Below are 10,995 nucleotides of genomic sequence, written 5' to 3' on the forward strand. Positions count from 1 at the left end.
CGGAGTCTTGCTCTGTTGGCAGGCTGGAGTGCAGTGGCACGGACCTTGGCTCACTGCAACCTTTGCCTCCCGGATTCAAGCAATTCTCCTGCCTCAGCCTCCCGAGTAGCTGGGACTACAGGTGTGTGCCACCATGCCCGGCTAATTTTTGTATTTTTAGTAGAGACAGGGTTTTGCCATGTTGGCCAGAATAGTCTTGATCTCCTGACCTCGTGATCTGCCTGCCTTGGCCTCCCAAAGTGTTGGGATTACAGACATGAGCCACTGCGCCCAGCCAACAAATGCATTTATTGTACCTCCTTCATGCCAGATGCAGTTTGTTGAAAGCAAAGTGTAGCGAGCAAGACATACCCTTCTGGATCTATCCTTGTGGAGCTCACAGTCTAGCAAAGGAGGCAGACATCAATTAATTGACCACACATGTAACCTTATAGTTACAATTGTGAAGGAAAACTACAGGGTAATTTAAGAGGTAGTAAGCAGAAGAACCTAACTGGACTGGAAGAAGAGAGGGGGAAGTCAGGGAAGGTCTCCCTGTGGAAGTGACAAGCAGGTTGAGACCTGAAGAATGAATGGATGTTAACCAAATGAAGAGGGAGAACATTCCAGGACAAGGGAATGGGAGGTGGTACTTTCTGTTTTGTTTTGTTTTTGAGACAGGGTCTCACTCTGTCATCCAGGCTGGAGTGCAGTGGTGCAAGCTGGGCTCACTGCAACCTCTACCTCGCGGGTTCAAGCGATCCTCCCCACCTCAGCCCCCCAAGTAGCTGGGACCACAGGTGTGCACCATCACGCCCAGCTAAGTTTATGTATTTGAGGTAGAGACGGGGTTTCACCATGTTGCCCAGGCTGGTCTCGAACTTTTGAGCTCAAGCAATCCACCCGCCTCGGCCACCCAAAGTGCTGGGATTACAGGCATGAGCCACTGCGTCCAGCTTACCTTTTTCTTACCTGTAAAATGGAAGAATATCTAGTGGAATTGATCCTTTTCTCTTTTTAAAAACTTTTTACGGCCAGGCATGGTGGCTCACGCCTGTAATTCCAGCACTTTGGGAGGCCGAGGCTGGTGGATCACCTGAGGTCAGGAGTTCGAGACCAGCCTGGCCAACATGGTGAAACCCTGTCTCTACTAAAAATACAATTAGCTGGGCATGGTAGTGCAGGTCTGTAATCCCAGCTACTTGGGAGGCTGAGGCAGGAGAATCGCTTGAATCTGCGAGGTGGAGGTTGCAGTAAGCCGAGATTGCGCCATTGAACTCCAAGAGCAAAACTCTGTCTCAAAAAAAAATCCAAAAAACAAAAAACAAAAAAAAACAAACAAGGCTCTGCACAGTGGCTCACGCCTGTAATCACAGCACTTTGGGAGGCTGAGACAGGCAGATCGCGAGGTCAGGAGTCCAAGACCATCCTGGCCAACATGGTGAAACCCCGTCTCTACTAAAATACAAAAAAATTAGCCAGGCGTGGTGGTGCGTGCCTGTAGTCTCAGCTACTCGGGAGGCTGAGGCAGAGGAATCACTCGAACTCGGGAGGCGGAGATTGCAGTGAGCCGACATTGCGCCACTGCACTCCAGCCTGGCGACAGAGCGAGACTCCTTCCCAAAAAAAAAACAAACCTTTTTACCTGGGAGCATAGACTGAAGTTACCTTGAAAATACACTCCTGGAACTAATCCTTTACAGACATCATTCAATCCTTACAAACCTGAGGTAGTCAGGTATGACTGGATATAAAAGTCTTCTAAGAGAGCAAGGTCCCACAGTTGGTTCAGTGATGAAGCTGGGATTCAACCTTAGGCTTGCCTGCAAGACCTTGAGGGGTTACTCTGTCCCTCCAAATTAAAACCCTGGAGTTGGAAGAGAACTGGCATCAATTTAGCAGCTTATGTTGAGCACCAACTCCATGGCAGCTCAGCCTGATTTTATCTCAGCCTCCCATCACAACGTCCCTCTCCCTGTGCCAACATATGGTGCATCTGTGCTGGGGACTGACACCAAAACGTTCTTCCTGCTCACTCCCTACTCCTCATCTCCTTTTCCTAGTCAGGCAACTGAACCAAGTGCTTTGGTGCATTATTAAATTTCATCCTCACAACCTTCTGAGGGAGACCCCATTTTGCAGATGAGGACGCTGAGGGCTTACAACTGGTGAGTGGTGGAGAGCAGGGTTTTGTTTTGTTTAGTTTTGAGATGGGGTCTTACTCTGTGGCCCAGGCTGGAGCGCAATGGCACGATCTCGGCTCACTGCAGCCTCCATCTCTCAGGATCATGCGATTCTCCTGCCTCAGTGTCCCGAGTAGCTGGGACCACAGGCATGTGCCACCACGCCCGGCTAATTTTTGTATTTTTAGTAGAGACAGGGTTTCACCATGTTGGTCAGGTTGGTCTCGAACTCCTGACCTCAAATGATCCACCTGCCTCGGCCTCCCAAACTGCTGGGATTACAGGCATGAGCCACCATGCCCGGCCCGGGAGCAGTGTTTAATGAATCCAGACTATAGTCTGGTGATACACAGACAGCAGCAAACTCAACCAATCTGCTGCCTGCCTCTCAGTAGGTCAAGGGATGGGCAGTGTCATCACAAGGGTGACTTCCTGTCTTTCAAAACCTGTCATCTAATGCTTCCCTTCTTTACTATTTCAGTACCATTTTGAAATCTTAAAATACATCGCAAGTTCCCCTTCCTTCCTTCAAGATGCACTGATCTAACCCAACTCCCTTCATAGATATGGGGAAACAGGTACTGGCAATTGTACAAGATAGCGAGGGGCCACTGGATCCAGACCCCACAGCTTTCAACTCCCAGGCTCCAAATAAACCCCTCACACACGGCTAACCCCATGTCCATGTCATTTTCCCTTTCTCCAAATCCTAATCCTACCTTCCGAGTAGTTGGGATTACAGGTGCAATACTTGGGTGCCTGTAATCCCAACTATTCGAGGTCTGTAGAGAAAGCTGCCTATGCCATTAGATCTTGGCCTTGTCACTTAACCTCCTTGGGCTCTGTTAGCAAACACCCAACCTACTCTGAAGCAGAAGACTGCTTTCTAATGCTCTGAAATGGTTAGAAATGTCCCTGTCTTGTGACTGCCAGTTAATTTTATCAAGTCCCTCTCCTTTGGACTTGAGTATCGTTTTTTGAGACAGGGTCTCACTCTTGTCACCCAGGCTGGAGTGCAGTGGCATGATCACAGCTCACTGTAGCCTCGATCTTCCAGGCTCAGGTGATCCTCCCACTTCAGCCTCCCAGATAGCTAGGACTACAGGTGCACTCCACCCTGGCCAATTTCTTGTTTTGCCATATTGTGCAGGCTGGTTTCAAACACCTGGGCTCAAGCGATCCACCTGCCTAGGCCCCTCAAAGTGCTGGGATTACAGGCGAGCCACTGCGCTCAGCCTTGAGTAACATTTTTAAGTATGTTAATATTTACCAACTGCTGTTCACAGTGGCAACTTTCTTTGAATATGAAGGCATCACTGATGCAATAAGAAAAAATATTTGCAGTCAGGCCGGGGACAGTGGCTCACACTTGTAATCCCAGCACTTTGGGAGGCCAAGGCAGGCGGATTACCTGAGGTCAGGAGTTCGAGACCAGCCTGACCAGCATGGCGAAACCCCATCTCTACTAAAAAAAAATACAAAAATGAGCCGGGCATGGTGGTAGGCACCTGTAATCCCAACTACTGGGAGGCTGAAGCAGGAGGATTGCTTGAACCCGGGAGGCAGAGGTTGCAGTGAGCCCAGATCACGCCACTGCACTCCAGCCTGGGTGACAGAGCAAGACTCCGTCTCAAAAAAAAAAAAAAAAAGAAAGAAAGAAAAGAAAAAGAAAAAAGAAAAAAAATTGCAGTCTAGGGGTTCAGGAGATAGGTTCCAAAGATCCCTTTAAAGCTCCTAATTTCCTTGGTATTCTGGAGCTCACTCTTCACATTTCTGGTGAGCGCCATGCTCTTAGGAATTGCTTTTTTTTTTTTTTTGAGACAAGTCTTGCCGTTGCCCAGGCTAGAGTGCAGTGGGGTGATCTCAGCTCACTGCAACCTCTGCCTCCCGGGTCTGAGCAATTCTCCTGCCTCAGCCTCCTGAGTAGCTGGGACTGCAGGTGCGCGCCACCACGCCCGGCTAATTTTTGTACTTTTAGTAGAGACGAGGCTTCACCACGTGGGCGAGGCTGGTCTTGAACTCCTGACCTCAGGTGATCCATCTGCCTCGGCCTCCCAAAGTGCTGGGATCACAGGTGTGAGCCACTGTGCCCAGCCGGAATTGCTTTCATCTGAACCTCCTAGTGTGGTTGTAAGGCAGGGACCCCTTTGCTGTGCAATCCCACCATTACCACTTGCACACTTTATGCAGCAGCCCACATCTTCTGCCACCTGCCTTCTCAGCTATGTCCAGGCAGCACAGGCCCCCTATCGACTGGGCAGGGAGTTACAGCCAAACCCTGTTCTTTCCCTTGTTGCTGCAGTTTCAATCCTAATTCCACTGGTATTTGGGGGAGCTTTGTTCCCTCTCACGTTTTCTACAGAAAAGATCTGCTAAGGTTTGTATATTGGCCTATTCGTTGTTACCACTTAACATGCCACATAATTTGTCTATCAACCAATGAATTCCAAGTACCTAGAACAGTGTCTGACACAAAGGTGGCCAATAATTTGTTAATGCATCTCTCTAAATATGAAGTTGCTACTGGTTCTTTGAGATGTTAAACATAATTCCCTGATGATTCGTCAGCCAGGGAAACTGCAAGGGGTACCGAAGAAGCTGCACTAACCCAGTAAAAGCTCAAATCCACAAGATTTCCACCATGTACATTCACTCAGCTGTAGCTCTTCAGTAAGTCAGGCAATAGCATTACCTGTTACAATGTCAACAATTAACCTAGATTTTTTTTAAACAAGTGAACTCGCTTGAATCCAGGAACAGGGGTGGGCAATCTTTTTGCATAAAGAGCAAAGTAGTAAATATTTTAGGCTTTGCAGGCCACATTATCTCTGTGCACAAGGGTGCATTTATATACATAATACGTAAGTTATGCATATGGCTGTGAAACAAGAACATTTTATATGGACAGAAATTTGTATTTCAATTTTCAGATGGCATAAAATATTCTTTCAACTATTTAAAAATGTAGGAACCATATAGTTCACAGACTGTACAAAAACAGGCAGCAGATGGCTGGACGCGGTGGCTCAGGCCTGTAATCCCAGCACTTTGGGAGGCAGAGGTGGTGGACCACCTGAGGTCAGGAGGTCCAGACCAGCCTGGCCAACATGGTGAAACCCCATCTCTACTAAAAATAAAATTCTGCGATTGCTATTTCCCTGCACTAGACGTGAATGGGGGAGTTGATTAATTGTAAAACTCATGTGAGGCCGGGCGTGGTGGCTCATGCCTGTAATCCCAACACTTTGGGGAGGCCGAGGTGGGTGGATCTCAAGGTCAGGAGTTCGAGACCAGCCTGACCAACATTGTGAAACCCCATCTCTACTAAAAATACAAAAATTAGCTGGATGTGGTGGGGGGCGCCTGTAATCCCAGCTACTCAGGAGGCTGAGGCAAGAGAATTGCTTGAACCCGGGAGGTGGAGGTTGCAGTGAGCTAAGATCGCACCACTGCACTCCAGCCTGGGCAACAGAGCCAGACTCTGTCTCAAAATAAATAAATACATTAAAAAAAAATAAAATAAAATTTACAGAATCAGTCCTTTACACTAAACACACTTCAAGCACATGGTAGCCAGAGAACATTTCTATCATTGCAGAAAGTTCTACTGGATAGTGTTGTTATTAGGTTTGGCAGGGAAGGGAGAATTCAGTAATTGACAAACCACAATACAACAGCAATTAAAAAGAAAGGCCTTACATATTTATTACTGAATCCAGCCAACCAACGTGTTCATAACAGATTCAGAGAGGAAAACACGTCGAAATCTCCAGATAGTGGTGACATTTTCAGCTTGATATGGTAACATGATCGTGACCTTCAGACAGCATAAATATGTGTGCCATCTCATGTGCAATTCCTTATAGACCCAGCTTGGTTCTTCTCCAATGTCTCCTTTTGGAGTTGTACCTACACAGAAAAAAATGTCAAGTTACAAAGGCAGTCTGACAGCAATGTAGCTGTTCCCATTCACATAACCTTTTAGGTACCACAAAATACAAAGGGTACTGCTTTTCTCTCCTCTAACAAGTTTGGAGTTCTTTCTGGAGAGTAAAAAAAATAATTCCCTATGTGTTTAAAAACTAGCCAAGTCAAGTTTTATCCTCTCAAAATAATTTGAAGGCTAGGCTCTTAACTAGGATCAGAGTAGTGGCGAAGCCCACTCTCTCCAAGTGTACTTGTACCCACTTTTGATTCAATGGACCTGGAGGTACACAGACATACTCTGAACCCCCTCATAATGGGTCACAAACATATAAAAGCTCCCGCATGATATTTTTTTTGAGACAGAGTCGCCCGCCCCCCCAACACCACCCAGCTAATTTTTGTATTTTTGTATTTTTAGTAGAGGCAGGGTTTCACCATGTTGGCCAGGCTGGTCTCGAACTGGCTGGACTTCGAGATCCACCCGCCTCGTCCTCCCAAAGAGTTGAGATTACAGGCATGAGCCACTGCACCTGGCCTCGCATGATCTTTACAATCGATCAACTCCTCCATTCACGTCTAGTGCAGGGAAACAGCAATCCCAGAATTGTCCATGTCAATCTGTCATGATTTTACCCTCATAAAGGCAAAATCAAAAATGATTAACACGGCTTTTCTTTCAGCAGGATAATGGCAGTACTTCCACAAAATGAAGCACTGTAATTGCAACCTGCTTTCAAAAACATTTTTAACGCTGGAAGATAGCTAAAACAATGAAAATCATTCCATTGGGTCAATTATCTGGGTCAAGGGTATATAATCTTACGTACAAAATACCTTCCCAATTCTAGGAGACCACAGAGTTTAATAGCAGGTTATTTATTGAACTAGGCGTTGAGTTTTACATACATTTTTCTTTTTTTGAGACAGGGTCACACTGTTGCCCAGGCTACAATGCAGCGGCCGGATCACAGCTCACTGCAGCCTGTGAATTCCTGGGCTCAAGTGATCCTCCCACTTCAGCCTGCTAAATAGTTAGGACTACAAGCACGTGCCACCAAGTCCAGCTAATTTATATTTTTGGTAGAGATGGACGGGGGTGGTCTCCCTATGTTGCCCAGGCTGGTCTCAAATTCCTGGCCTCAAGCAATCCTCCTGCGTTGGCCTCTCCCAAAGTGCTGGGATTATAAGTATGAAGCACTGTGCCTGGTTTATATATACTTCTTTCACTCTTCACAAGCAGGTCCCACCATCAGGCAGGACACAGAGAAACCCACGTTCAAGTAGATGTATCAAATAATAAAGGACAGTGTCTAGTATCCAGTAAACAAATGGTAAGCAATTAACTAGCCCATAACATTACAATGGGTGGCAATTTTCACATCTAACTAGCTAAATGAACCAAGGAAATAGGCCCTCAACTTTAGCCCTAAGAAGCCACCCCTTTAAGTCTTCTTAGCAAACCAATCCCACTAGCTTTGCCATACAAGTCGAATCAAGTTCTGGCTGGGCGCGGTGGCTCATGCCTGTAATCCCAGCATGTTGGGAGGCAGAGGCGCGTGAATCACGAGGTCAGGAGTTCAAGACCAGCCTGGCCAAGATGGTGAAACCCCGTCTCTACTAAAAATACAAAAATTAGCCAGGTGTGGTGGCAGGCACCTGTAATCCCAGCTACTTGGGAGGCTGAGCAAGAGAATCGCTTGAACTTGGGAGGCAGAGGTTGCGGTAAGCCAAGATCACACCATTGCACTCCAGCCTGGGCAATGAGAGCAAAACTCCATCTCAAAAAAAAAAAAAAGAGAAAGTGCTTTGACTAGCCTGGGCAACATGGCGAAACCCCATCTCTACAACAGGTACACAAATTAGCCAGGCATGGTGGTGAACGCCTGTAGTCCCAGCTACTCAGGAGGAGGCTGAGGTGGGAGGGTTACACCACTGCACTCAGCCTGGGTGAGAGAGCGACTGCTGAACCTTGGGCAACTCTTGCTGATTCTTGATGCTCCCTTCAAAACCTGTCTCAAGGCCCATCAGGACCAAAGAGCGATGGGCTGAAAAAGCCATGCAGGAGACTGTTTCAGGCCTAGCTTTCCCTGGAGTTAGTCTAGATGACCTTGGAGGTCCTTCATAGCAATTCTAGTAATGTTTTTCCTTTGAGATCAACTACTTCTGCAGTAGAGGACAGTTTTCCAATCTTTTCTAGTCTCTTTTTAGAAAAGAGAAACATCTAAAAGACTGGGCTAGGTGTGATGGCTCACGCCTGTAATCTCTGCACTTTGGTAGGGTGAGACAGGAGGATTGCTTGAGCTCAGGAGTTCAAGACCAGCTTGGGCAACACAGAGAGACCCCATCTCTACAAAAAATTTAAAAATTAGCCAGGTGTGGTGGCGTGTGCCTGTAGTCCCAGCTACTCAGAGAGATGAGGTGGGAGGGTCACTTGAGTCTGGTAGGTAGGGAGAGGTTGCAGGGAGATAGTGTCAACGCAGCATGTAAAACAGAACAAGATCCTGTCTCAAAAAACAAAAACAAAGGCCGGGCACAATGGCTTATGCCTGTAATCCCAGCACTTTGGGAAGCCGAGAGGGGCAGATCACTTGAGCTCAGGAGTTTGAGACCAGCCTGGCCAATATAGTGAAATACCATCTCTACTAAAAATATAAAACTTAGCTGGGCGTGGTGACGCACGCCTGTAGTCCCAGCTACTCTGAAGGCGGAGGCAAAAGAATCACTTGAACCTGGGAGGCAGAGGTTGCAGTGAGCCGAGATTGTGCCACTGCACTCCAGCCCGGGTAACAGAGCGAGACTCCGTCTCAAAACAAAAACAAAAACAAAAACAAAAACAAAAAGCCTAAAAATACTGACTGGGTCTTCCCCACCAGGATGTGTATAAGACAGCCTTCCACCTTATGACCTAGCTCAGACTGAAGATGACCAGGAAATTAATAAGTATTGGAGAATTATCTGCCCATAAGCCCAGATGTGGGCTGGATGCAGTGCAGAAACAAAGGAAGTACGTTTTTAAAAACGAATTTGAGAATGCTGTCAAAGGGTGGATTGGATTGCATGCAATTTTAATCATGTATTTATACTCAAAAAGTAACCCTGGCCAGACACAGTGGCTCTTACATTTAGCAAAATACAAGCAGTATGATGGAGGTCTTACCTGATTTTATTTCCAGTTTTCATCCGAATCCACTGGGGAATGGGACGATTTTGCTTTTGTTTCTTGGCCAGGAATCGCTTAATCCTGAAAGTCTTGTGAGAAGACTGGGAAGAAAATGCAATCAATTTAGACAATATTAGAGCCTGCCCGAATGATTCAAAGTCAAGAACTCCTTCAAACCAACATTTGAGTGCTTAACACATACCCCAGCCCCAAAATCTTCTCAATGCTAAGCCATCAAGCCAAGCAAGTCTCTGACCCTCACAACTTCTCTGGGGGCAGATACCACAGTTTCCATCGTTCAGATAAAATAAGTGGAATCCGGTTAAGAAACATGCACAAAATCAGAGCATCAATGTGCAGAACCAGGATTCAAACCCAGGTCCTTTCTGCTCCACAGCCAGAGGCTACCTTTCAATTTACCCTGTGGTCCCCCAAGGACTCAGACGACCACACTGGGAATGGCTAGGGAATCTGGCTTCCTGGGAAGAACACAGCTTTGAGTCAAACAGAACCACCTACCTACCATTTGCAAGTCAACGAATCTCAGTGCTCTACTTTGTAAAACAGGGGTACGTACTTTTCAAGTGTTATTGGGAGGGTAATTAAGACTTAGGGAAAGTCCCTGACATTCAGAAGATCTAACCTACTCACCATTTCGGTATTAATCCTAACTCTATCTCTACTGCTAAATTTCACTGGCTAAAAAAATAAACTTTTAAATTTAAAAATAAATGAAATGTCACTTTTCCAAGGATGACTGTCTCAATTTCTAGTTGCATCTTTTGGCTTTCATCTAAGGCCAACCCCAATACTCCCCCAAATCTACAGAATAATCTTGCAAAATTGGCACGGATGCAGGTTTAATGCCTGGCCAACCTGGACGAACATACCCTTGCATAATAATGGGAGCCAATACAAAGAAGGCAAAGATTACACCCCGTCCCCCATCCACAGTAGCAGTTGTAAATTTTGTCAAGTAATAAATTACTTGACAAGTAATAAAATACCAGTACTTATCGCCTCCATATCTAGAAATCAACATTTTACATTTCCCAGTAAAGAGTGACTGGTTCGCTGCTGCCATTTACTAAGAAGGCCAGAATGACACACAGGTTCGCAAAACACCCCTTGTTCTAGGCGCTTCCACGGGGTGACGCTCAAGTCTCTGAATAAACGTCCTCTAAACAAAAGTCCTGGGATCTAAAAATGCGGTTCGCTTCTCCACGCCAAGCTAAACCCTTTTCGAAAACCAGTAGCCCACAATACCCTCCTGATTACCCTCCACGTTGCGCATGCCACGGGCAGCCCACAGTCAGGCCACGATTTCGGGGGTGGCTGCCACCTCCCACCCCCCGCCTCCAGAACGAGTTCGCTACAAGCGAAGGGAAACCGGAATCCCTGCCCGACTCGGCAGCGGCCGGGCAAAGAAAGAGCCCCCTTGAATCCGCGGCCGCAGCGCAGCCCGTCCCTCTCCAGGTTGCTCGCTGGCTCACTAGCTTCCCTCCAGGCCACGAAAGACAACAGTGGCCGAACTGGATATTTTCTTGAAAAAGCCTTTAAAAGGCTCCCGCCCCTCAACGCTCCGCGCGGCCCAGGCATTTCCTGGCAGCGGCCTCGGGTTTTGGGAAGCCACCCCGGGGCCGATGGGGGCCGATGGACTTACCATGGCGAGCAGCGGAGTCAAGAACACACCACGATGGCGGAGAAAGGAAGAGGAGGGAAGCTGGCGGAAGAACGAGCTTAGAA

General features: G+C 47.1%; 1 protein-coding gene and 1 non-coding gene across 2 annotated transcripts, besides 2 other annotated features; both read right to left on the reverse strand.

Moving 5' to 3' along the window:
* RPL39 (ribosomal protein L39) lies at positions 5,843–10,969 on the reverse strand. The gene is made up of 3 exons (NM_001000.4): positions 10,913–10,969; positions 9,247–9,350; positions 5,843–6,071 (listed from the first exon to the last, which is right to left on the reverse strand). Exons 1-3 carry the CDS (start codon positions 10,913–10,915, stop codon positions 6,023–6,025), a joined length of 156 nt encoding a protein of 51 aa, NP_000991.1. The 5' UTR covers positions 10,916–10,969; the 3' UTR covers positions 5,843–6,022.
* SNORA69 (small nucleolar RNA, H/ACA box 69) lies at positions 6,692–6,823 on the reverse strand. The gene has a single exon (NR_002584.1). It is a non-coding gene; the product is annotated as a small nucleolar RNA, H/ACA box 69 (small nucleolar RNA).
* Positions 8,775–8,834: an enhancer, noted in NCBI's record as "active region_29898". NCBI's record gives its function as "activates an Ori minimal core promoter by ATAC-STARR-seq in GM12878 lymphoblastoid cells {active_cell/tissue: GM12878}" and the evidence as "EXISTENCE:reporter gene assay evidence [ECO:0000049][PMID:35858748]".
* Positions 10,704–10,963: an enhancer, noted in NCBI's record as "active region_29899". NCBI's record gives its function as "activates an Ori minimal core promoter by ATAC-STARR-seq in GM12878 lymphoblastoid cells {active_cell/tissue: GM12878}" and the evidence as "EXISTENCE:reporter gene assay evidence [ECO:0000049][PMID:35858748]".

Source organism: Homo sapiens, chromosome X (assembly GCF_000001405.40).
Source record: "Homo sapiens chromosome X, GRCh38.p14 Primary Assembly".
Classification (NCBI taxonomy): domain Eukaryota; kingdom Metazoa; phylum Chordata; class Mammalia; order Primates; family Hominidae; genus Homo; species Homo sapiens.